This window comes from Homo sapiens, chromosome 4, assembly GCF_000001405.40.
Source record: "Homo sapiens chromosome 4, GRCh38.p14 Primary Assembly".
In the NCBI taxonomy this organism is placed as follows: Eukaryota; Metazoa; Chordata; class Mammalia; order Primates; family Hominidae; genus Homo; species Homo sapiens.
In genome coordinates this window covers 42647367-42674936 of record NC_000004.12, presented here as the reverse complement: position 1 = coordinate 42674936, position 27570 = coordinate 42647367, and the positions used below count along the sequence as shown (strand labels likewise).

At 39.0% G+C, this 27570-nt stretch overlaps 1 protein-coding gene and 1 long non-coding RNA gene across 12 annotated transcripts in view, besides 3 other annotated features; one reads left to right on the top strand and one right to left on the bottom strand.

Moving 5' to 3' along the window:
- Positions 1–16589: 16589 nt before the first annotated feature.
- On the bottom strand, positions 16590–17414 carry ATP8A1-DT (ATP8A1 divergent transcript). Its single transcript, NR_186688.1, has one exon. It is a non-coding gene; the product is annotated as an ATP8A1 divergent transcript (long non-coding RNA).
- Positions 17396–17605: an enhancer, noted in NCBI's record as "active region_21523". NCBI's record gives its function as "activates an Ori minimal core promoter by ATAC-STARR-seq in GM12878 lymphoblastoid cells {active_cell/tissue: GM12878}" and the evidence as "EXISTENCE:reporter gene assay evidence [ECO:0000049][PMID:35858748]".
- Positions 17636–18105: a silencer, noted in NCBI's record as "silent region_15396". NCBI's record gives its function as "represses an Ori minimal core promoter by ATAC-STARR-seq in GM12878 lymphoblastoid cells {active_cell/tissue: GM12878}" and the evidence as "EXISTENCE:reporter gene assay evidence [ECO:0000049][PMID:35858748]".
- ATP8A1 (ATPase phospholipid transporting 8A1) overlaps positions 17832–27570 on the top strand; it is a 248733-nt gene continuing 238994 nt past the window's right edge. For all 11 annotated transcript variants that reach the window (NM_001400027.1, NM_001400026.1, XM_047449508.1 and 8 more), the window contains exon 1: positions 17832–18112. Coding sequence is in view for 10 of the 11 variants with exons in the window: in NM_001400026.1 (NP_001386955.1) it covers positions 18064–18112 (49 nt within the window). In the remaining variant the exon portion in view is untranslated. The remainder of the gene's footprint in view (positions 18113–27570) is intronic.
- Positions 18596–18645: an enhancer, noted in NCBI's record as "active region_21522". NCBI's record gives its function as "activates an Ori minimal core promoter by ATAC-STARR-seq in GM12878 lymphoblastoid cells {active_cell/tissue: GM12878}" and the evidence as "EXISTENCE:reporter gene assay evidence [ECO:0000049][PMID:35858748]".

Genomic DNA, 27570 nt, shown 5'->3' with positions numbered 1-27570 from the left:
TATAGAATTACAGAGTCCTTCTCAGGCCATATTTAGTTTACTATAACAATGGGCATAAAGTCCTCAACATTGGGAAGGGGAAAAAATGGCATATGATAGATATTTAAATTCATGAATCTTAGTCACTCGATACTTTATACATTAAAATTAAAAGAAGCAATGTTTAAGAAAAGAAGTCAAAGTCCTCGTGGCGTTCATGAGCCAAGTGCACGAGGGAACTGATTAGTGATTGAAAGCAGCCTCTTAAACAGCAACTGCTGTCATAAAATCCACAAATACCACAGGAGGTAGGTTATAGAGAGTTTTTAAATGGCTAGATGTGCGTAGAATAGTGTTTAAAAGCAAAAGAATACATTGATAGCTTCAAGTGGCAACTGATAGTAAAGAGAAAATAAAAAATAATTGGTATTAAATATTGTCTGGAGTCATTTAGTGAAAATATTGGTTCTCAAAGTGTGGTTCCTGTGGACCAGCAGCGTTAGCATCACCTGGCAACTTAGAATGCAAATTCTCAACCTTCACCCCAAAACTACTGAATCCGAGCTTCTGGGGTGGAATCCAGAAATCTATGCTCTAACAAGCCCTCCTGTTGATCCTGTGGGATACTCAAGTTTGGAAACCATTGTGGGGATGAGGAGTCCTGACCACAAGGCAGTGTGGTAAGGTGACCAAGACTACCAGCGTTGAAGTAAGACAGCCCTGAGTTTGTATCTCACATCCGGTTCTAGCTATGTGAAGTCAGGCAAGTACTTACACCTTCTAAGTCTATTTATTAGTGTGCCTATCCTAGAGGTTTTTTGCAGGGATTAACCAAGAACATTCATGAAACCATGTTAGCTATTGTTTCATCGTCGGCATCATCTTAGGACTCTCTGAAGGCATGACTATATTCTTTCCCTGAGTATGAAGGCACTGAGTAGTCAATGTTCAATATACTCTATAAAAGATAACAAGAAGATGGGTACCATTTCAGGGTAAGATTTGTATATGAATGGATAAATTAATAATAATAACTTCTATATGCTTACTATATATTTGACATTGTTTTAAATGTTTACATATAATAACTCATTTAATACTATTTAATCCTCTCCATAACCCTGTAAGATAAGGTCTATTATTATCTTCACTCCACAGATGAGGAAATTGAGGCACAAGGGGCTAAGTGCCTGAAGTTACGAAGGTAGAGAGTGATTAAATACAGACAATTTGCCTCAAAGTCTGTGTGCTTAACCACTGTGCTACATCATTTCTCAAAGTTAAAAACAAGTTTTGACATTTAAGGCATAGATTTCAATTGTCTAGAAAAATACACTTACATGGAACATTTCATTCTCCAAGAAATCAGAAAAAAATGAAATATTTTATTCTTATTTCTACTACATGCCCTCTCAGCATCTCTTCCATATGCATTAAATGCATCCAACTGATTCCAAAGAAAAGGTGGTAGCCTGAAAAGCAGGATGACTATTCCCTCTAAAATGGAAGAAGAAATAGAGCCAGGGAGAGCCAGTGAGAAATCCACAGGATGGGAAATTCATTGAGTTGCCCAGTTTCTCATTTTCTCAGTGCAAGGGCATTCCAGGATAACAGGACAAACTATTACCCTCTGGCAGCAGCAATATCTCTGCTATGTCTGAGTCAGATGCTCAGGCAGTTGAATGTACTATGGGGAAATAAGAACAGAGCTCAAGCGCGGCAGACTGCCTTGCTTTGAGTGGCACTCTAGGTGCCTGAGCAAACTGCCTGGATACCTATGACTGGATGAGAGGAAGTAGTTTCCTTGACCTTGCTTGATAGATTTTACTGGCATTTGTCAGGGCTTTTAAAACTTCTCAGTGTTTGAAACAAGAGAGTTTAGACTCCAAGACTGCAAAAAAGGAGGCAGTTTTTTAGACAGAAAGCTGCAAGACAGATCAATTTTACCCTTAACTCATTCAATCTCCAGTTTTTGAATACCTGCCAAGTTCTTTCAGCTTCTTCAAGGTGACCAATCCAAATAATTCACTCACTATTTCAACACTCTCAATTGCCAGTATTTTTAAGACATACAGTGTTGTGATAAGAAAAAAAGAAAAAGAAAACTCTCTCTATACTTCCCAATGCCAGAAAACAATCTAAAATGAAATTGAGAGAATGTGAGATTAGCTTTTCCTCTTATTATTTAAGATGAAATATTCACTGGACCAGGTTTTTGGCAGAATGGAAATTTCAATGTGTGCTTACTCCTCTCGTTAGCTCTTACTGAAAATGCCATCTCATTTCTCACACACGCTCCCTGAACATCTTAGCTAATATGTCTGGAAAAAGACATTCAAAAGGAAATATCTATATTTTACTCTATAATTTTTTCCACTGTCTACTCTGTAAAGAAAAACTAGAAACAATAAGATTTCCTGTAGGTCAGAGTAAAATGTTTCCTTTCACTATTGCTGTACATTTACACCAATCATAAGAGTTTTTCTCAATGAGAAAATTTTCTCCAGCTTTGATATCCAACTTGTGTGCAAAGAATCACTAAAAGTTAAATTACCTTGAGCTTCTCCTGGATATGTAACAATATGAAAGAACTAATATTAGTTTTCAAGTGTGATAATACTGGTTTTGTTATTTATCTGATCTCATGCAGGAACTAAGCTTCCCACATAACAGAAGAGGTATATATAAGGTCTACAGAACAAATTGCCTCAATGTCTTTTGTAACAAAGGTATGAGGTAAACTATGCCTTTGTATAGTTTACAAACTTTTTGTAAGTGTCATGAATTTAAAGGGAATATCTTCTTATTTTCCATCTTATAGAATTTCTTTTGGTAACCCCCAAAACTCTCAGTGAAGTACATTTCATGTAGTTTTTATGGCTGTGTTCTAGGTTGAAGAGATGAGGGAGCAATGGGAGCTGTGGCTTCCTCCCTCTGCCATCAACACTCTGCTAGTATGGGCAGTTGCCAGTGCAGACAGGGTTGCAGGCTTGGGCCAACAAAGATGTAAGGGTAGGTACCTGCAGCAGCACTGAGAATAACCAAGTAGACAAGTAAGACACCTTTAGGGGAAAGAAAAATTAAAAAGTAAAAGAAACAACAACAAAATTTTCGTTCCAAATACACAGAGTGAAATTACAATGTAAGACTGATTAACAATGTAAAACTAATCTCCCTACCAGATAACACTAATTACCAAAGGATAAATAGTAACCTTACAGTCGACAAACCTGTCAGTCCCATCTTAACCCAAGTGGTCAAAGTTAACATCAACAGGAAAGGGGTATTCACATCCTGTGCCTGTAGGATGCACTGACAGCAACGCAACATGACTTCCTGCCAAAGCCACGAGGTGACATCAGACAACCCCATACTGAGGGGTAGTGTACAAAACAAATGGCCTGTACTATTCAAAAAAGTCAATATCATGAAATTCAAAGGAAGACTGTTCCAAGTGAAAGAGATTAAAAGGACATGACAACTGAATGCAACACATGATCTAGAGAACATTATTGGAACAAAAGATAAAATCTGAAGAAGGTCTGTAAATGAGATAATAGTATTGTTTTAATATTAAATTCCTGATTTTAATCAGTGTGTTGTGGTTATGTAAGAGAATGTGCTTGCCTTAGGAAAACACACTTTGAAGTATTTAGGAGTAACAGGATTCATGCCAGCAACTTTCTCCCAAACAGTTCCGAAAAAACAATAGAGAGAAAGAAAGAGAGAAGAATAAAGCAAATACCGTATAGTAAAAATGTTCTTTGTTGGATCCTAGCAACTTTTCTGTAATCTGAAATTATGTCAAAATTCTAAAATTGAAATGCAAAACTTTAGGGTAAATATGATGTCACCACAAAAAATAGTTCACCCTGTTCACAGAGACTCTCCTTGAGGGCACATGCCAGTCTCTAGACTTGCTTCCCTGTCCTACTGTTCAATCATCTTTTCCCCACAAATGTTCTCACAGCTTCTCACTGCCAACCCCTTTCCCACTCCAGAAAACCCTTACCATCTTGAGACCAGTGCAATACACTGAACTCAATAAGCTAGTGCTCAGAGACTGGGTAATTATGACTAGAATGAAATAAACAGAGGGAGGGGGCTAGAGTGGATGAGGGTGGCATATTAAGAACCTGCCTGAGATGAGGTCCTTCCATTGGTGTGACATGTCTCACCATCCTTCCTGCTCAGTTAGAAAATAATTATTGTATCATTCTGGCATATCTCTTTTCTTGACACACACATGCAAAAGAACAAGGAATGATTTTTCAGAAACTACCAAATAGGTTCGTACTGAAGAGGAGATTGTTCTATAAAAATTGAATGATCTTCACACACTCCCTTTTCCAGCCAGGAGACAGCACTTTTTGTTACGAATGTTCATTCCAACTACTACTCTCATATTCATCCTCTAGTTTCCAAACACAGGGAGAGGCTTATTGGTGGGTAAGACAAATCTATCTCTTCAGGAAACAGAGCTGTCTGTCCTTGCTTAGCAAATTCTGGCCACCAAAAGACCCAAGGAAGCTCTGAAATTACAGATTTTCTATACCTTAGTCTAGATAAATATTTTAGGTTGGGTGTTCCCACAGGAATGCAGCAGGAGAGGACATCACCCTCCATCCATAATAACTGCTGGGGATGTTGGGAGTGGGCAGATATGGAGTGAGGATTTGGAGCTGCCAAGCTCCACCTTTCCTCTGGGTCTTTGTTCAACGTGGTCTCCTCTTCCTGGAATCCATCCCCAACCTTAGTGTTTACTGTCTATTCTCCCTTCCTAATACCTTTCCATTTTGCACTTTGTTTCCACCCAGTTGCTGTCACCCTCATTCAGGCTGTAAGCTTAGCCCTTAACCTGAAAGGTACCAGTTAGAGGAAGCACTGGGAGGTAAACAAAATCCAAATCAATGTCATTAAAAGAACTATACCTGCCAGTCCTAATAAGAAAAAATATGAAAATAGTTTAGAGTGGGGTGACACAGTAATAAACTAGTTGAAATCAACCAAATGGACCAAATGTGGTAGAGAAAAGTATTAGGTAATGGATGACTTGAATCTGGAGGACTCAGGCACATTGACAGCCAAAAATGTCATAAAATTTTCAAGGATATCTGTAATGCTAGAGCTCAAATGTCTCAGATGACATCTCTGGTTAACATTCAACCTCAGCCAGCTAAAAGTATAACCTCCGAAAGTGCTTAGCATGCTAACCCTGAAATTGTTTGGATAGCATAATTGTTTCCAAGAGAATCAATAGCTGTGAACCTGTAGAATTACATATACATATATAGGATTAAGTAAATCAAACTTATAGTACTAATATTTTTAGTAAGGTTTAGAAATAGTCACTATATTTAGGAGAATTTGACCTGTTACTAAAATTATCTGTGTAATTCCAAATTAAAGTGATGAGACTAATTGACAAAGATTCTATGTCAAAATTAATCAGTATTAGAGAGTTTATAAAAGCCTAAGACATATCTTCTATAATTTAAATTTATCGTATTATGATAGTTATTTCAGTACTGAGAAGGCTTTTTCAGATGACTAAAGCACTTAAATATGAAAAGGAAATGTATCAACTTTGTCAGTATAGTTTAAAATGTTTAAGGGGGTTTAAGTTTATAAATGGAATCAAACATTAATTAAACACCGCTTCAAAAGTAATTTTCAAAATTTGTGAGATGTCTAAGTACAATAAAATAATTAAGTTAAATCTACTTAGATGTCTAAGTATACTAAAATAATTAAGTTAAATTTCAAAGCTTAAAGAAGAGCTATGTTTGTTACATACAAATTTAATAAATTGAATATTAAATTTTTAAAATGAAGTTTGCTTTGGATAATCCTTTTGGGACCCCAAAACTACACATAAGTACAGAAAACTTCCATTGACAAGATGGCCACAGGCGCATCCTAACCGGGCTCTCCTTCTGCGCTTTCCCTCACGGTGTAGTTTGAGCATAGCTAAGAGATGATGTTCCCAAAATACCATTATGGAACTTGTCTCTTCAAAAATCAATAATTTTTTTACTTTTCCCTTTTTTTTGTATAAACAAAGGAAAAACTAAAAGAAATCTTTTCGTTTTACTTCATCCATTGCTTTGTTAGTATCTTATTCACCTCCAAGATTCCATTTATTTTTATCCAGAAAGTCACCTTAATAAGTTACTACCTCACAAAATTAATTTCAGCCTCTATTCTCTATTGTACTCCGTTTAATACTATTTCGGTTCACATTTAACAAGTTCTTTGCTAAGTGTCAGCAGTTTAAAACCCTGTTTCATGTAACCTGTTTCTAGGATGATGCAAACTCTGGTTTTTTTTTACATTTAAAAACACAATTTGGACAAAATGTATTATTTCGTCCATGGAAAGCTCCAGAATTTTCATAATGCAACCTTGAGAAAGATTTCTGAGATTTACTGAAAAGTTTGGCAGAGAATGCTGGCTGCCTACCTGCTAATCCATTCTCTCCTTCCCTTAAGTATCAGAATCCCAAATTTTTATCTAGGTACATTACTGGTTGAATAAATAACTAATTTCCCATCCTCCCTATCTGCTACACATGGCCAGGTGATGAGCCAATAAGAGCTGAACATAACTTTTATCTGAGGCTTCAGAAGTAGATGCTGAAAGAATCTGACTCAGTGTGCTAGGACTATGAGGTGACCTTGAGGATGGAAGCTATGTGTTAGCATTGCAGAGTACAAATAGAAGTCTCCGGATCTCTGAAGGCAGTGTAGAGATATCTTCAGACTTTTTTTATATGAGAGACAAATGAACCTCTACCTTGTTTAAATTACTGCTACTTTGGGATTTTCCATTATGTGCAATTGAACCTTTGGGATTTTCCATTATGTGCAGTTGAATATTTGGGGATACAATCAATATATACATTTGTAGACTACCTTTCCAACAGTACAATATACAGTGGTGATTTTATATTTATTCATTTACATAATGACCCAAAGAGGCACATTGTTTTAAATATTACTAATGAGCATTTTTACAGCAAGTTTCTTGAAACCAGTAAATAGAATCCTCCATCACAATTAAATATCTAACATTGATGCCTTTTGTCATACAAATGATAGATTACATAAACTTGCATTATTAGACTTTACCAAGAAAGGCATGACTGAAGAAAATGCCTCTAGTAACTATAATCGTTAATTTTATGTCACTTACAGAGTAGGAAAAATGTTGGATGTACTAAATTAAAATAATAACGGCAGGTAGGGCACGGTGGCTCAGGCCTGAAATCCTAGCACTTTGGAAGGCTGAGGAGGCCAAATCACTTGAGCTCAGGAGTTTGAACAAGTCTGGGCAAATGTTGAAACCCCGTCCCTACTAAAAATGCAAAAATTAGCCAGGTATGGTGGCAGACGCCTGTAATCCCAGCTACTCAGGAGGCTGAGGCACCAGAATCGCTTGAACCAAGGAGTCAGAGGTTGCAGTGAGCCAAGCTCACACCACTGCACTCCAGCCCGGACAACCGAATGAGACTCTAAATAAATAAATAAAAGCAACTAAAATTTGTATTGTATGTTGCAATAAAATATCTCAGGTACTTCTCACAATAATCCTATGAAATAGGCGTTATAATTATCCCCATTTGACAGATGAGGAATCTGAGGCAGAGAAAAGTTGGTAACTTCTCCAAAATGAAGCATCTGGCAAGTGGTATAACCTGGATCAGAGTCTAGCAGTTTGACTGCAGAGCCCGCATGTTAACCCACTGAGCTAATCTGAGGTTCAGAAAGGTCTTCAAATGACATTCCCATGATTAAACCACTCAAAAGTTCCAGAGCTGAGATCCAAACCCACATCTTCTGATTTCAGTTCTGTTCCTTAAGTCAGGTACTCTTCCCTCCTCAAACGTCAGAATTTCTGACTCAGTAGGAAATTAACCCAACATCTAAAAAGTTCAAGTATATCTATATCTATACTTACATCTGTAACTAGAGAGGGAAGAGTATCTGTTTTTTCTGCAGATAGACTATTGTCCTTTATTCTCCATAGTCCCAGAAGTATTACTATAAATGCCTCATATTATATTCAAACTTAACTTTTTAAAATCACCATTTCCTCTGTTAATTGAACAGACCTTTATCATCTCCAGTCTGGTTTCTCTACCTCTAATCCATGCTTCATATTCTATTATCACCACAAAAACCTTTTCAAAGTACAAGGTTATCATGTGTCCCAGAGCCTCCCTACAATGACTACCTTTTGTTCTGTGCATTCATTCCTATCACCTTTGCTGGTTTGCATGGTTCTTCATAATCTGGCTCCCATGTACCTATTCAAATTTTTTATTAATACTATTTCCCAACCTACAGGTCTCCCTTTGCCTTCTGCACTGTCAGTTTTAGATCAAGAACAACCCAGAGGAAGCCAAAAGGGGCCAGGACTAGGTGCAGAATTAAACCAGTGGGCATGGGAAACTGAGTGGCTACACGAGGCAACAGATTGCAGCTGCTTCAATTAGAGAATATATGGCTGCTGAAGCTGGGGAGGCAAATTGGAATCAGAATACCATGGATTCAGGAAGAAGAGAGAAGAGATTCCAATTTAATAGGCTAAGGTCAGTGTTCAGGTGTTTAGACCAAACGTAAAACAGACGACAGGAGGATACGGGCAGGGAGAAAAAAGCTGCCATTTGCAGTCTGGCACAGACAAGCAGATCTATACAAGAGGTGTAGACTCTGCTCCCACACCCGGCACGAGTTCACCTGTGCTCATACCTTCAGTGTCTCCAGCTTACACAAACCTCCATTTAGTTCCTTTATATCTTTTCCTTAAAGTGTCTGCCCCTGACCCCAGCTTCTGCTCTCTGGGACAAATACCTAAATGTAATCCTGAATTAAGTATTCATTCTCTTTCTCCATTTGGTGGATTTCCTCACAGTTCAAAGTTGGCAAGAAGCTACAGTGATAAACAATCCCTCTTTACAGCAGATGTTGTTTCTGAGATTTTTGGGGTCAGAGAAAAAAAAGTTGTGATTTTCCAATAAATCTACTAAACACTAAAGTGAATTATGAACCGCTGAACAGGGGCCATATCATCTAAGAGGCTCAAACACAATTGGCAAATATTTTATATTTGAAAGCTATAGCTTATTTCATCAGAAAATGATCTTACTTAAGCCTGGCATTCTTTCTAAATTAAAAGTCATGGAATTATGGAATTACAAAATTGTACTTGATAATCGTCTTTATTTCATTTACTATGCTTTTTAAATTTTGTATTTATTTTTTATTTTTTGACACAGAGTCTCACTCTGTCGCCAGGCTGGAGTGCAATGGCACAATCTTGGCTCACTGCAACCTCTGCCTCCTGGGTTCAAGCGATTCTCCTGCCTCAACTTCCCAAGTAGTTGGGACTGTAGGTGCATACCACCATGCCCAGCTAATTTTTGTATTTTTAGTAGAGATGGGGTTTCATCATGTTGGCCAGGATGGTCTCGATCTCCTGACCTCGTGATCTGCCTGCCTCGGCCTCCAAAAGTGCTGGGATTACAGGCATGAGCCACTGCGCCCAGCCTATGCTTGATTTTTAATAAAAATTCTGGACTTTCCCCCGTCAATATTTTTTACCTCATTATTGTGACTTTGTCTCCTTGAAATAACACCTAATGTGACATGGTGAGAAAAAAAAGCAAGATTTTCTTGGGAGGTTTTTTTCCTTCCCTTTTTCTTTTTCAATATTGACTTTCTGGTCAACATCAAGAAAATAAATTATATAATAATATTTTTCTCCACTGGTTATCCTTTTCATACATCAAACATCATACCATACTGTTTTCAAAATAAAAGACATAACATGCAGTAGAAACAAAATGTTTAGTGTAAATTTTTAGATACATTGCAAAAGCCCTATAAGCAACATTAAAGGGTTTCTGATATAGGTGTGGAGGCCCAGAAATATTTGGGGATACAATCATTATATACAGATACAGCCTAGCTTGCCCAGAGTACAATATACCGTGGTAATTTTATATTTATTCACATAATAATTTGATTAGTATTTGTCTTCCTGATGCAACATACATTCTATAACAGTCTGGATCCTGTCTGTTTCAGCTGACCACTCAATTTCCAATATCCTGCTCATTATCTAAAACATGGTGGGCACTCAATAAGTTGTGCTGAATGCTGATGAAAAAGCTTATCTAGTTACAGATAAGAACCATTCCATGGGTCAAGAGGAAACTTTTGGAAGGAATGGATATGTTTCTTATCTTGAATGTAGTGATGGCTTCACAGTTATATATATGTATCAGAACTTAAATTCTACATGTTAGACACATGAAGTTTATTGTATATCAATTCTACCTCAATAAAGCTGCTTTTAAAAATGTCTAAATGTATGACAATATTATGTTGATTGTCTTATACACAAGTTCAGGGACTATTTTATAATAATACTTTGTATAGAAACCAGCATTATTGAAATGCTGTTTGGTAACCTTTGGAAAAGAAGCAGCACTTCTAATTAAGTATGAATTTTTCACATCTTGGCTCTGATATGCAGGAAACTTTTAAAGTAAAAAAAAAATAATTTAATTAATCTCTTTTCATCTGTTTGAAATAACGCTATTGAATGTAAGATCCAACACTAGATATTATGATACAGCAGATCATTTCCCTTTGAATGTGCATTTACTTTTTGAATAAAATACTCAATAAGTGTTTTTCCCAAAAGATTGTGTGTGAGTTGAACCTGATTTTAAATATCCTGGAGATACTAATTCTTTAAAAATTTCTTTCAAGAGTTCTTTCATATAATACAAAACTGCATTTTGAAACTCTAGTTTCATTTAAACAGGAGCAGAATATTTTCAATTATATTGAAGAAAACATTGTTGTACTTTTTTGTTGGAAATACCCAGTATATGCAGAAGATAATAACATTAAAGACACTATAACTTTGTATTAAGACCTTGCTAAGGTGTTTGAAAAGACAGTAGTACTACAGGTATGAGAAATGAATCATAGTTGTGAGGGAAAAGTATTGATTTTATCATTATGAGTAAGAATAAGTGACTAAATTATTCAATGACAGCAAATTTAGAACTTTTGGTTGAAATTGGTTTATATTTAAAATTTGATCACTTAATTTTGACATTAATTTTTGTGGCACAAGGTTTTGCTGATATCAAATACTCCAAAGCAAATATGTTCTAAATTATTTCATGCAAATAATTCTCACAAAATAATATACCCCAATAAACATACTTATGAAGGACATAACTTATTATCTCTTCAGATGGAACACTACCTATCCTTCTACTCATTTCCAGTTTCCAATCTGAGGGATCCAGTTCATTTACATTCATTCATTCAACAACTATGTATGAATCCTGGACTGTATGACAGACACTGTTGTTAAGGTTGAACAAATTGCAATTAGCAAGACAAACGCAGCGAGAACTATTTATCATAAACAGGTAAACAAACAAATAAGAAAACTCCACATAGTGATAAGTACTATGAGAAAAATAGAATAAGGCAATGTGGCAGTGTCTAGCATTGGGGATAGTGGGGCAATATTAGCTGGAGTAGGCTGGAATCATCTGAGCCCTGTGGACGAATGAGGGGCTAGAGAAGCTGAGTCTGAGAAACAAGCAAGGGCAGGATCATAAAGATTTGGTTTTCTTCCTGAGTGCCATGGGAAGCTACCAAAGAGTCTTAAGAAATAACATGAACCAGTTTGTGTTTTAAAGCAATAATAATAATGGTGGCTCCCGTGAGACGAATGGAAGACAGGCATAGAAGCAGGGCGACCAGTTAGAAAGTATGGCAGGCAAGCGATGATGGTGACTTGTACACAGGTGGTAGAGGTAGAGATAAAGTAATGTGCATAGAATGAAGGTACATTCTGGGAACAGAGCCTAAACATCTCGCTCGTGTATTGGAGGGTTGTGCATATAAAGGTGGTGACACAAAGTAAGCAATCAAAATGAAGAAGGCTGGGGCAAAGAAAGTCCCTTACAAGTCTAACAGTATAATGATACTTTAACCATACACTATGCATTAAATTAATATATAACACCCATGATTATAGATACCAAAGCCTAATCTTCACTTGGAATAACCAGGCAGCTTTGCTATTAGATAGAATTTTACATCTCAACCTAAATGTTAAACTAAAAGATGTTAATTATGTAAAACTTAAGATTAATTTACCCGTTTCTTTAGTGCTTCTGCAAAAGAATTGGAAGTATAGTGGCCAGCACTGCTTAGTGTATGTATTGTATGGTTGTGTGGTAATCCACTTTCCATGCCTCAATCTCAATCACAAGCAGGGTTCTCAGCCATGTCTCCAACAACCCCCAGGACATGAGTTTCCAAAGCACCTCCAGCTGCATTGTGAGTTAACAAATTAGTGAGCAAGCTTTTCTCACCTACTTGACTATAAGTTTCTCCCAAAGGGGACCAATTCATAATTTTGGGGGTCCCAGACAATGACAAACCAGGTAATATCAAGTAATTAATAAGTGCAATTCCTCCCAAGATAGGAATATCCTCTGATATCTCTTTTGGATTTTCTGGACTTGGTCATTTTTTGGCTGATGCCTTTGGAGATTTAATTTTAAAAAATTTTTAACAGCTTTATTAAGATATAATTCACATAACATACAATTCACCTTAATATAATCCATTAGTATATTTACAGAATTGTGCATCCATCACAATATTTTTTATTACCCTAAAAAGAAACTCTGCATCAGCTGTCATCTCCCAGTGCTCCCATTCCACCCCCCATCCCTCAGCAACCATTAATCTTTTTGTTTGTGTAGATTTGCCTATTCTGGACATGTCATATAATTGGAATCATACAATATGTGAGCTTTTGTAACTGGTTCTTTCACTTAGCATGTTTTCAAAGTCATCCATGTTATAGCATGTGTTATTTTATTACTTTTTATTGCAGAATATACCATGGTATGAATATACCACATTTTATTTATCACTTGAGGGACATTTGCATTATTTCCCCTTTTTGGCTATTATGAATAATGTAACATTTGTGTATAAATTTCTGTGTGGACATCTACTTTTCTCTTAGGTGTATACCTAAAAGTGTAATTGCTAGACCATATGGTAACTCCATGTTTAACATTTAATGAATTGCCAGACTATTTTCTAAAGCAACTTCACCATTTACATTCCACCAGCAGTATATGAGTGCTACAACTTCTCTACATTCTCTCCAACACAAAATTATCTATCTTTTTGATCATAGCCATTCTACTGAGTATGAAGTGGTATCTCAGGTTTTTGATTTGCGCTTCCCTAATAGCTAATGACATTGAGCATCTTTTTATGAGTTTATAGGCCATTTGCATATCTGCTTTGGAGAAATAACTATCCAGATCCTCTGCTCATTGCTCATTTTTAAATTGGGTTGTCTTTTTATTAGTGAATCATAATAGTTCTTTTTTTTTCTTGAGATGGGTTCCTGCTTTGTCTCCCAAGCTGGAGTGCAGTGGCGTGATCATGGCTTAGCTCCCTGCAGCCTCGACCACCCCAGCCCAAGTGATTCTCCCACCTCAGCCTCCAAATAGCTGGGGCCATAGGCGTGCACCATCACGCCTGGCTAATGTTTTAATTATTTGTAGAGACAAGGTCTCAACATTGCTCAGGCTGGTTTAGAACTTTTGGGATTAAATGATCCTCCTTACTTGGCCTCCCAAATTGCTGGGATTACAGGCAAGAGCCATGTCACCAAGCCTCATAATCGTTTTTAATATAATCTAGGTACAAGTCGCTAATCAGCTATATGGTTTACAAAAGTTTTCTCCCATTCTGTGGGTTATTTTACAATTTCTTAATGATGTATTTGGAAGCACAAAAGTTTGGTTTTGTTTTTTTGTTTGTTTGTTTGTTTTTGAGACAAAGTCTCGCTCTGTCACCCAGACTGGAGTGCAGTGGCACGATTTCAGCTCACTACAACCTCTGCTTCCTGGGTTCAAGCGATTCTCCTGCCTCAGCCTCCCAGGTAGCTGGGATTACAGGCACCCACCACCACGCCCAGCTAATTTTTGTATTTTTAGTAGAGATGGGGTTTCACCATGTTGGCCAGGCTGGTCTCGAACTCCTGACCTCAAGTGATCCACCCACCTGGGCCTCCAAAGTGCTGGGATTACAGGCATGAGCCACTGTGCCCAGACAAAAGTTTTTAATTTGATGATGTGCAATTTATCTATTTTTTCTTTTGTTGTTTGTGCTTTTGATGCCATATGTAAGAAACTATTATCTAAGTTAATAAATATTTACTATTTTTCTCTGAAGAGTTTTATAGATAATTTAACTTTTACATTTTGGGTGTTTGATCCATTTTGAGTTAGTTTTTGTGTATGATACAAGGCAGGGGTCCAACTTTTTTCTTTGGCATGTGGATATCCAGTTGTCCCAACATCCTTTGTTGAAAAGACTATTCTTTCTCCTATTTAATTTTCTTGGCATGAAAACTTGATTTCCAATCTGTTTAGTTCCAGTAGTGACATCCTCTTAGTTCTTTTATTGTATTTTTTTCCTTTGTAATTTCAACTATCATTTACCCAACTCTGGGTACCTGACAGTCACCTCTGATTTGAATGAAGTTTAAACCTGAGTCTGTAGGCCAATGAAGTTCCATTGATGTCCACACCCTGCTGTGACAGTAGAACAGAGTAGACGTATTTACACATACTTTATTTTCTCTAATGACTTAAAACAGCCATCCTAATTCAAAGAGAAAGCTAAGGACATGTTTTCCCATTTAGTCCTACATGGCACAGTTATTGGGAATGTAATGAACATCTGCCACTCAATGTTCATTATATTAGAACATAATTTACTTAGTAAAGTTGAGGAAAATTTGTGGCAAAATTCAAGGGAAAAATGTCAAAAAAAAACCCACAAACGCTTAAAAGTGGGCATATTGGGATTCCTAGCATCATTCATTTAGAAGGCTCATTAGGAAACAAAAGTATCCTAAGATGACATTGCAGACTCTCCCAAATCTGGCACCTTTAGTCTCCATACATGGATTCCCAGTGAAAAACCTTTACTGTAGTCAAGTCAGTCTCTTTGTTCCTGCCAAATATATATGCTCCTCTATCACTCCACTGACCTTAAACATTCATTAAACAATGACTACCAAGCATTCCCACTAGAAAGAGGTCTCCTTTTTATTTCTATAGAATTAACCCCTACTTTAAGATCTAGCTCAACAATGTTGATCACCCTAGCTCTTAGAAACTTAGCTTTCTCTCAAAGTCCATAGTTGCTGCTTGTCTATTTGGCATGACATATTAGCCATCTTGTTGCTACTGCTGTTTAGCTTTCATTAAGTGCCTCTATAACCTAGTTCTCTGGCTCAGCACCTCACACGTGTTACGTATTCAATGTACATTTTGTGGAGGATAAAACCTGGATCTTAGGGAAGTTGTCCTTAAATAACCCTCTTCCTTCTAAGTCTATCAGCAGTATAGTCATATGACCTGAAAGATTTTAAATGATCTTGCTGACATCTGAATTCTACTACAGATTCCGTGACAAAGTCATGTGGCTGGAACCGGAGTTCCCTGCCAGGGGCTGGCACATTGCACTTCTCACACAATAGAAGGTGAGACGATCTGAGAGCCTTAAAATCAAGCAGATGCAGATTAATGCAATCCTCAACTTCAATCAAGTTCTGAACCAATAAAAATGTGTGATTTCTAGCAGTCAGGAATGAGTGGTTTTTAAGAAATAAGGTAGTTGGGATACGCTTGCCATTATGGATAAAGTGATAATATCAGGGAAAGGACACACGGTAATCTATAGACTATATCATGCAATATTCTTCTCTGTATAAGTGACTTGTTTCCTGTATCAATGACGTTTTCAACTTTGCTGATGAGTTAATGGGACACACATGTAAAAAATGGATTGCTCTATACAAAACAGAGGTAACTTCTGGAGTTCCTTCAGTTATTACTTGTAAATAAGCAGAATTGAACCTCAACCCCATCTGAGGACTAATTAGGAATTACAAAGGTGATTGCTCATAAATGAACTATCGTCATGCTGCTGCGCACTGATTTTTAATAAGAACTGGTTATGGCTTCATATAGAATTACACCTAAAATGTTAATCAGAAAAGCACTGCATTTCCTCCAGTTTCTGTTCGCTAACTTTTAAAGCTGATTATTATTTTTACTATTTTCCTTGCTATGTTAGCCCTTTAATTTTGTTTCAGACTCATGTTCATTAAGCCAGAGCAAGCCTGCTTTATACAAGGAGACCCTGGGCCTTGGAAGAAATAAAAATGCCCAGTGATGACAGTCCAGATAAAGCTGTGTTCATTTTTTACGTTTAGAAGACCATACTTTAAATCATGACTATCACTGAAACAGATAGATTCATTTATTGTTGAGTCCTGCTTTACCCTGAGATGTTCCATGAACACTGAGAATACATTTTCTTTGTTCTAATTCCAGCCTCTGAATCAGAGCCAACTAGAGTGGGCTCTTCATAAATATGCATTGACTGCCTGAGTATTAATGTAGGGCAGGGCTCTGATTAGCAAGTGCTACCTGCAGGAAGCAGAAGAAATACCACAAATGGAGATAGGACGCTATTAGCAGATTTTATTTCATTTTTTCCTGAGGCTTGGAAATAATCACTTCTCTCTCAGGTCAAACCTCTCCAGCTCTCTCCCTTCAGGATGTGAAAAGATCTCAAATAAAAGGCCTCTATGTGAGGATCTCTTTCGCTGGTTGCTGGAGGAAGAGCATGAAATGAGGGAAGAAGCAAATTGCTTCTGATTTATTGTTTCTGGTTTATTCCTTTCCTGCCAGTTCAGCAGCTCGCCAGAAACAGCACAAAACCTTACATCTTAACTTGAAGGTGAAGTATTTGTTTTGACAACTTTTTAGCATAGATCTCGGTATACAAAATAAAAGGTAATGAGGCTATGATAGTCTGAAGGACATCGGCAAATTAAAATTTAACATATTTATGGATTTTATACAAAGACTCCTCTCCCCTTTGCAGATAAAACGACTGCATCCAACTTTATGCAGATTTAACTAAAAGAAAAAAAAAAAGTCTTTTGTGAACCACCTGGGCCAATACTTAGTTGGCTTAATTGCTATTTCAGTGCCTTGTCAGGCTGCAGAGCCTGAACTAGGGAGATGCACCGGGCCCACTTGCAGGCGGGGCCCAGATGCACCCAAGCCCCATGGACAAGAGCACCATGGGCACCAGGGGCCTCCCGACCTGGCAGCCTGTTGCTAGTGGGCGAGGCAGGAGGACAAGTGCGGCTCAGGCCACGAGTCGGGCTGGGCGTGCAGAGAGGTTAGAATTACACCCAGATGGCGAACAGTCAGTCGTTCCTTTCCTGCTCTGGCTGGGAGCTAAACCTTGTAGTCCCAGACCCTTTCGCCTTCGCCTGCCGGCTCAGACCCAACAGCTCTTTCCGGACGACGGGCGGCTCCACTGCGATCAAAAGCCAGGGGTAGCGGGAGGGGATTCGTGAGAATGCAGCAGCCAGAGCAGTCTTTCCTTTCTGAGCAAGATGTGAGAGAGTCCGAGTGGCCTGGAGGAGGAACCGGGTCAACCAACTCCACAGGGCGGAGCGAAAACGCTGGAGGACTAAGGAGGCTAAGAGTTGATCCCCCCTTTGAGTCGTGATACGGTCCGAAGCGGGGCGGGGCGGGGCGAAGGAGGCTCCCCCTGGCTCTCCCCGCCCCTCACCCGCCTTCCTTGCTGAGCGGCCGCGGGAGGGGGAGCGCGAGCCCCGCAGGCCCCTCCCCCGGCGCCGGCGCCCGAGCTCCGCCCCTCGCCGAGCCGCCCCTCCGCGGCTGCAGCAAGAGCTCGCCCAGCTCTGCGGGCGCCGCCACCTTCGCCGCCACCGCTGCCTTTCTCCTCCTCCTGTCGGCGTGCGGGGGCCGCGCCCGGCGGCAGCTCTGCCCTAGGTGGGCGGCGGCGCGGCCCAGGCTGCAGCTGAGCGCTCTGCGCGGCGCAGCCGGGTCTCCCGCGTGTACCACGCCGTGACAGGTGCAGAGTCCGGGCTGAGGACCCACCTGCAGCCGCCGCCGCGATGCCCACCATGCGGAGGACCGTGTCGGAGATCCGCTCGCGCGCCGAAGGTAAGGGGCCGCCGAGGCTCGGGGCTAGCCCGGGGTCGGGAAGCGAGTGTGTGTGTGAGCGTGTGTGTTTATCCTGGAAGAGACCGCATCCTACCTCTTCCCCGGCGGCAGTCCGACTGTCGCGCCCGGCCCCTAGGGGACCCTTCCCCCCGCGCTGCCCCCAGTGTACTCGCAGACCCTTTCCAGGCTCCAGTACCCTCGAATGGGTGTTCTCCGCGGGAGCCCCGAGGCGTGCTTTGCACCGCAGTGTGACCATTAGGTCCCAGTCACTGAGCTCACTCGCCCTGCCCACCTCCCTCCCCACCAGTTCGATTTCCACTCAGCAGATCCCCAGCCCGCCGCCCCTGCCTCCGGCGCCCACCGTTTTGCAACCCCCTATCTGAGCTCCCAGCGAAGCGAGTTTGCTTTTCCCCGGCTGCAGGATCCTTTGATCCGTAGTCCCTTGGCTCTCGAAGCGCGGGGAGCCTTCATCGGGGTCGGGTGCCGAGTGGGTTCCCTGCATTACAGCTTCTGCAATTCTGCCTCCTGCAGCGGAGTCCCACCGGCTCGCGTCTGAGGTTTCGTTTTTGTGTTTCCCTTTTGCCCGAAACCCTCACTTCGGCCAGCTGAGCTGACTTTTCAGCCAGGTGGAAGCTGTTTTCTTTGCTCCACCTGGGGCCAGCTCTTGAATGGCCATGGTTGTCAACACTGAGCAACAGATGCTCCGGGGTAGAAGCAAGTAAGCTTTCCGAGGGCCCAGACTCTTCATCGTCTCCGAGGAGCCCTCAACATCCTGCCTGCCATGTGGCAGGCACTCTGTAAATATTATTTGATTTTGCTCGCGTCAAAGCCAAGACTGTAAATATCCCAAGGTTTGTTTGTCCTCTCCCATAAACCTGTACTTGAATCCTGCAGAGGGTGGAATAACATGTTTTTCAGAAATCTATCTTGCCATCATCGCTGATTCCCACTCTTCCTCCCCACCTCCATCTTTTAATGTGAGACAGGTGGTGAAGTGGTTTTAGAAAAATATATAAGTTAGGAGAATTGGATTTCAGGGATGGAGACAGGCCATTTTTTCTCCTTAGGGGCTCCCTGTAAAAATAGGGTCCCTGAAATTTTCTGATTGCAGTATTTAGGAAATATTAAATGAAACTGCTGTGGGGAGAAGACGAAGCAAGATTCAAAACTGGCCTGTGTACTACATAGGAATTCGGTACATGCTGTCATTTGTAATACCCAAAAAATACTTATATAGGGCATTATAGTTTTACATACACAGTTGAATACATTATACTTTTAAAATGCACACTGTAAAAATTCATTTTTTTTACACTTCTGAGTGAAATTAGTCATAGAGATAGTGAAAGTAGAATGGTAATAGTTGGTGGTGTTCTTTTAAATAATAGCAATTGATGGGTCCTATATTGTGGGAAATAAGGGGAAGAGAAAAAGTCTGAGAGCACTGCAAAACCTGTGGCATGTGAGGGGATTACAGGGCTGCAGTATTGTTCTTGATTGGCTTGTGTATTTTCCAAAGTACTTTTACAAAGATTACTTTATGGAAACTTACAACACTCCTGGAGGTTGGTGAAGGTGGAGTGCCATCTGATAGTTGAGGAAACTGTGGCCCATATGGTTTAGTAATTTGCCCAAGGTCAAGTAACTAGTTCAGTGACACATTTGGATTAAGAGCTCTGGGAAAACAAGGACTGCTGCTTGTTTAATCTTTGTATTCCCTGTGCGTCCAGCACAGTGTCAGGGCCATAGTGGTGCTTGGTGAGTGAATGACCCTTTCCCCTGAGATTAGTTGATTCCAGTTTATTATAGCTTCAGCATGTGCTTGGGACTGTGGTGAAGACAAATAATGACTCTGTGGGGCTGGCGTTGTGGCTCATTGCCTGCTCTGCCCACACTTTTCTTTCCTAGGAAATATTTCTTTCCTAAAAAATATAGTCCTACCTTTCCTAAGGAATATTCTCCTTTGAGAGAGGCCCTGCTGCCTAGAGGGCCTTGTTCTGAACTGCAGCCTTTTTGGCCTCAGCTGATTGGACTATGGTTGGCTCCTGACCCAGGGTCAACCAATTCTTATGTGACTCAGACACTTGTAACCTTGTGGTTTGGCTCAAAAAGAGTCTCTGTGTTAATCATATCTCTCTTGAAAACATTAAAGTTAGAGATTTAGAGTAAAAGCAGAAGGGAGCAGAGGTGAATAGGCTGGTATGGGAGAGAATGGGTGGCCATAATAAGTCATGGGAATGCTGCTGATAGAAGAAAGCAGAAACTATGAGTGAGTAGAGAGATAGCAAAGAAAATGGAATGGATGGGCAGACACAGATCCTGAGAGAGGGTGGCGAGACCTTGGAGCCTGCCCTCCCGAATTTTATAGCCCTAGTTCCCAAGTAGCATTAAAATAAGCTCTTTTCCCCCCCTTGAAATGACTTGAATGGGTTTCTGTTCCCTTCATCCAGATTGGCCAGATGTATGACTGTCATGCCTGTAAGTTGTTTACAACCAAACTGGGGAGAAAGGACTTAAAGAGGGAATAAATAGTCTAAGAGGGGATGTTGTTAATTAAATATTGTGCATGCTGTGGGGGACGCAGGACCTGTGGAAGATTAGGAATTTAGTACATACTTATTACTGAACATAAGGCCTGCTGAGTGAACATTTCATTGAGGTGTGATTTGAGATGAGCCCTCACACAGTGCTTCTCAAACTCGAAGGTTCATAGGAATCACCTGAGGATCTTGTTAAACGCAGAGTCTGATTCAGGAGGTCTGGAGTGGGGCCAGAGTTACTACATTTCTGACAAGAATGTAATGCTGAAGGATGCTGGCCTGCAGATCACAGTCTGAGCAGCAGGATCCTAAAGGATACTGACATCTATTTCTGTAGTTAGGAGAGTGTTGAAGACAGTCATAACAAGAACAAATGGGGAAAGTGAACATGGCTTATTTCAGAGTTCTTAAGGAAATTGGCCGGGAGCAGAGGGAAACTTGGAAGGAGCAGGCTAAAAGTTTGGATAGGTAGATTACTGCCAGATTACAAAGCATTTTAAATGCCAAGGTGAGTCATTTGGACACAGGACCGAATATTTGAACAGGTTCTTAGAGTTCATTGAATCTAATTTCTTATTTAAGCCTAACTCCAATATATAATATCTAACAGGGCCAGTTGGGGGCCACATCGTTATAAGGGAGGGACATCCTAAAAGTAGTAACTTAGTTAAGTCTGGAAGTGTGTTGGCTGGTTTGGAGGAAAAGGTATGGTAGATAGACTCTTTTGCAAAACAGTCTTAAAATGACAAAAGTCAGAATTAGTATTAGAGTGGAACAGTGAGAATGGGAAGGGAGGAATCAGATTTCTGACTGAATCATTAACTCATTCAGCAGATGTCTACTGAACTTCAACTACTGTTACAGGCACTTGGGATACATCAGTTAACAGAAGAGGAAAAGCATGGCCCTGGAGGTGCTTACTTTCTAGTGAGGCAGGAGACAAAACACACACAAAATATGCTAATTATAGAATTTGTTGTGTGGCAAATGGGGAAAATGAAGAGAAAGCAAAATGTTTAAGGTGGGTGGATGGATTGCAATTTTAAGTAGGTTAGTTAGACTAGCCCTCATTGAAAAGTTGGCATGAAGGAGATAAGGGAGTTGGCCTGGTGGGGATCTGGGGGAAGGGTGTTCCAGCCAGAGCAAATGCCCCAAGGCAGGAGAGAATCGGGAATTAGGAACGGTGAGGGGAAGAATAGTAGGAAATGAGGTCACAAAGGTCATTGTGTTAGTCCGCTCTTAGGCTGCTAATAAAAACATACCCAAGACTGGGTAATTTATAAAGACAAAGAGGTTTAATGGACTCAGTTTCACATCGGGAATTAGGAACGGTGAGGGGAAGAATAGTAGGAAATGAGGTCACAAAGGTCATTGTGTTAGTCCGCTCTTAGGCTGCTAATAAAAACATACCCAAGACTGGGTAATTTATAAAGAAAAAGAGGTTTAATGGACTCAGTTTCACATGGCTGGGGAGGCCTCACAGTCATGGCGGAAAGTGAAGGAGGAGCAAAGGCAAAAGAGCGTGTGCAGGGGAACTGCTCTTTATAAAACTATCAGATCTCGTGAGACTTATTCACTGTCATGAGAACAGCACGGGAAAGACCTGCCCCCATGATTCAGTTACCTCCCACCAGGTCTCTTCCACAACACTTGGGGATTATGGGAGCAACAATTTAAGATGAGATTTGGGTGGGGACACAGCCAAATCATAGCAATCATATTATAGGACTTTGCTATTTAGTGAATATTTAGTAAACATAGGGCAGGAGAGAGAAGGACTTTTTTGAAAAAAGCAAGTCTCAACAATAATTTAGAATTCTAATATTAATAAGTTACCATGGATCTTATTGGTAATAGCATATTGATATTTTATTAGTAATAACATTGGTAGTAGGTTCATAAATTATCAGGGATCTTATTGGGCTGGCTTGTGAAGATTTAGTTGAGTAAATCTGTGGTGGGCTTGGGGATTCGCATTCTTAATGAGCCTCCCAAGATACCCTGGTGCTGGTGAAACACATTTTGAGGAAATTTCCATTACAGTCTTGAGCTTGACTGGTTGAGAAAATCTATTAAACAACAAGGAAATTGGGAAGGAGGACTAATAAAATAAGAGATGATACTAATTCAAATTTTGAGGTAACGGGGACATCCAAATGGACATGTTTTAAAGGTAGTTGGAAATTTTTAGGTGAGATGTGGGAAACCTCAAACTTGGGAATCTTGAGAGACAATAGTTGAAACCCTGATAGTGGAAAAATTTGCCATAAGGCAAGAGTAGATAAAGCAGAAGACTAAGAATTTTAGGTCTCTTTATTTAGCTGCCCCAGATAAATCAAATGGGTGTTTGAACTTAGCATTTGAAATCTGGAAACAGACTGAAATAATGGTAGCTTACACAAAATAGTTTTTCTCACTCCTGTAAAACTAGTGTGGAGGTAGACAGGGTTGGCTGTGCCTGCTACACAAAGTCATAAGGGATGTTGGCTCCTTGTGCCTTTCTGCTTCACTGTCCTGAGAGTTTGTCTTCCATAAAGTCACAGCATGGTTGCTGGGGTGCCAGCCATCATGTACAATAGTTTTAGCCAGGAGAAAATGGAAGGGTGAAAGGCAAACAGGTTTTTCAGAAAGCACCACACAAAAACTAATGCTTATTTTGCATTGGTTTCCACTTGCAGGGCAAGCTGGGAAATGGAAATTTCCAGCTGGACACATTACCCAGTGTTGTGTTACAAACGGAAAAGGGTGTATGGTTATTGAGCAGTGCATTAGTCCATTTTCACACTGCTGATAAAGACATACCCGAGACTACTCAGCTTGGAATTCATTGTATCATTATCAGCATTTTGGGTCAAAGCCATTCAACAAGTCTCTAGGGAGTTCCATACTTTCCCACATTTTCCTGCTTTCTGGGCCCTCCAAACTTTTTTCAACCTCTGCCTGTTACCCAGTTCCAAAGTCATTTCCACATTTTCAGTATCTTTTCAGCAGCACCCCACTCTTCTGGTACCAATGTACTGTATTAGTCTGTTTTCATGCTCCTGATGAAGACGTACCGAGACTGGGCAATTTACAAAAGAAAGAGGTTTAATGGACTTACATGGCTGGGGAGGTCTCACAATCATGGCAGAAGGCAAGGAGGAGCAAGTCAGATCTTACATGGATGGCAGCAGGCAGAGAGAGCTTGTGCAGGGGAACTTCCATTTATAAAACTATCAGATCTTGTGAGACTTATTCACTATCACAAGAACAGCATGGGAAAGACCTGTCCCCATGATTCAGTTTCCTCCTACTGGGTTCCTCTACGACATGTGAGAATTGTGGGATTTACAATTCAAGATGAGATTTGGGTGGGGACACAGCCAAACTATATCAGGCAGACAACAGAATCAGTCACAGTGAAGTTCTCAGATTGCCAAAGGCTCTTGCTTGGATAACATAGAAACTGCTCTGGAGCTCATACTTTACATATAATAAGGATTAAATTGTTCAGAACTAAAGAAATGCACACACACAAAAACTTCACATACCTATCCAGTGGTTTGTGTTTTCTTCTGTTGAATACTATAATGCTAAAATATAATGACATTTATTTGATTATGTAAAATATGTGCTAAACGATGTATCCAGAAGTTGTTTTAGGAATTGTTTTTCTAAATGGCAACTCTAAAATGTTTGTAACTATGTAGAATAGTATGTTTTATTTACATAAAAGGTAACAAAAGGAATAAAAAGTAATTTAAGCTGTCCTTAAAGGAAAAATTTTAGGACGCTATTCCAGGTAAAAGATGACTAAGGTTTTTGTTCCTTTAAAAACCACTTATTATGCACCAGCTGTGTGCCAGCTAAATGGGTGGTGGGACAAAAGGCTGTGGTCGATGAAGGAGGTCCCAAAGGAAACATGGAGATGAGTATGGAGATGAGTTCAGTTTTACCTGAAGTGGCACTGTGTGAGAAGGTGTGTATGAGTATAGCGATACAGCATGTCATCAATATTTGAAAATCTCAAAGTAGGTGTCATTTTACTTAGTGTAATTCTGGAGATATAAGTGTATTAGATCTGATTATTTTAGGTTTTCTATCTTCAGTGCAGAATTCATGGTTTGTTTTTTCTGTCATTTCAAAAACAGAATTGAAGCATATACCTAATGTTACAGCTGTGGGAATGTTTGCAAAGGTCAGAGGACACTTTTGAAGTTAACGAAATGTTTGCTGCGTGGGTCTCTATTCACATGGTTTCATTGGAATGTCAATGACATGAAGGCCACCACTTTCCCCTTCATTCTTTACTTCTTAGCGAAAGGAGCCCAAACCTTCCAATGATTGTATTCTCCGGGTAGTAAGCTCCCTAAGGGCAGGGGGTTTTGTCTGGTTTGTCCACTGATATATTGCTCCCCATGAGGACATTGCCTGGCACATAGTAGGCATTGGTTAAATGAATGAATCTATGTCCTAAAGATGAAAATGCCTTATAATCCAATTTGTAAAATACTCAGAGCTAAATCTAGATGTACTAAATCTAGTACCCTCCTACTGAAACCTTAGCACCCCAAAGGAGCGTTTTTGTGAGATTTGTTCGCTGCTGTACCCTCTACACCTAGAGTTTTGTCTGCCACATAGCCACCACTCTATATTTGTTGAATGAATGGATAACTCTGAGCTTTGTTTTTAATGGAAGAGCTTAACTATGAGTCTTGATAGAAGTACTGCCTGCTTACTGGGAAAAACTCATGCTTCAGAAAGTCTTGCAGGAGAGAGTAAAATTCATCACAAACTATGCCATCCAAATATAATCACATTGTGATTATAAACTTTTATATACTTCATATAAATTTATATATTTACAATGTTAGAATTTTAGTATATGTCCTTCCCAACTATTTTCCAGAAAAGATATATTTGTTAGGAAGAATGAGGTAATCTGCATTATTTTTAATAATTTTATGGATATCTGTGCCAATATAGATTTGTGTAAATTTTGTCTACTGTCACTAGTTATATCCTTAGTGCCTGGAATAGTGCTTGACACTTGGTAGCAGCTCAGTAAATTTTTGTTGAATGAACAGATCAATTTTATTAATTTTATGACAGCTTAGCATTTTTATGTTAGTACAGAATAACTTACTAAAGAACCCTGTGGGTGGACATTTAGGTCATTTCAGTTTTTTAAACTCTTGAATAAGCATCTTTGTATCTTTTTGTACACCTTTCTGATGGTTTTGTTCAAAGTCCCTAGAAATGGGATTTCTGGGTCAAAAGTATATATCTTTTTATGACTTTTGATACATATTTGAAAATTGCTAGAAAGATTATACTGGTTTACACTCCCACTGAAAGTGAATGAGAGTGCCTGTTTATCCCTTTTGCAGCACTGTATAGCATTTTTCTTCCTCCTTATGGATATAGAATGTAAAAAGTAAGTCTTTAAGTTTACATTGCTTTATTAGGTTTAACATATTTTGGTAAATGTAGTGATTATTTTTTTCTGAATTGTTTATCAAGTTTTGTATTGAAGTTTAAGAACTTATATGTTAACGATAATACCTTTTTTCCTTATTCATAGTTTATCTTAACTTTGTAGTGCTTTAACATGTATGTAAATTAATTTTTATGAAGTATAATCTTTCCTTTTTTTAAATTTCTGCTTTAATGTCATATTTTTCAAGATAATTTTTCAATTATATTTTTCTTTTAGTACTTTTGGGTTTCATTTTAAACAGTTATATTAGTAATTCCTGTGTGATTTACTTTGTGGTGAAATGTGAGGCCTGGATCTAAGTTTTTCCTCAAATTATTTACCTGACATAATAACCATATATTTAATAATCCTTTCTTCCCACACTGATTTGAGGTGCTTCCGTATGTATATATTTGAGTTTTTTTCTGGAGTCAGTCTCTCTTTCCCTTCCCCCCACCCCACCCGCCGCCACCTCTCTTTATTTTGGTCCCTTTTAGCCCCTGGTATCAAATTCCTTTATTGCAACATAACAAAAAATATTCTCTTAGCTGTCCCATTTGCTTTGCTCTTTTCTCTAGGTTTTTCTGGGTTTTCTTTCCCCCACAGTTGTATTTTTCTACTAGAATTTATGAGTACATCATTGAATCAAGTTAAAAAACATGTTGGAATATTTATTGGAATTGCATTGTTTATAAATTTATATTAAGAGAATTGGCATCTTTCTTATATTGAGTCATGTATGCTTAGTTTCCCTCTTCAATTATTGCTACTTTGATATTGGTATCAGTCTGAATTCATTTCAGTTTTTCAGTTAATTTTTGTCTCTGTAGGTTTTAAAATTATATTGTATGTCTTAAAGCAAAGTATTTTTAAATGAGGTTTTAAATTAATAAGATTTGACCAGGTATCTGTTGGTTTTACTACTTTTTGAGCAAGAATGGTTCATTTCTATCTGCTGATGTATTGTGGACTCTGCTTCCAACTTACCACTTTTATTATTTCATGTAGTGGCCCTGACATGATAGCTGAGATATTACTCTTTTTTCTCCTTTTTGCTAGGAATAAGGTCAAATTTAGACCAACTAGATTTAGCTAATGGTTCCATGGAATCTACTTACAAATCAGCATTTATATCTCAGATCAGCACTAAAAGAAATAAAACGTGAGCCACAATCAAGCAGCTACATTTAAAATGTAAAAAGAGATGTTAAATGAATTTTAATACTATATATTTAATATTAAATAATACAAGTAATAGTGTATTTAATATATAAATACTAATATGTATTATAAATATAAATTGTCTTTGGCCCAATATATCCAAAATATTATTTCAATATTTTGTTATAAAAATTTATGAGTGGTAGTTTACATTTTTTGTGCTACGTTTTCTAAATCTGGTGGGCATTTTATAGTGCATCTCAATTTGTACTATTTCATGTGCTCAGTAGCTACATGTG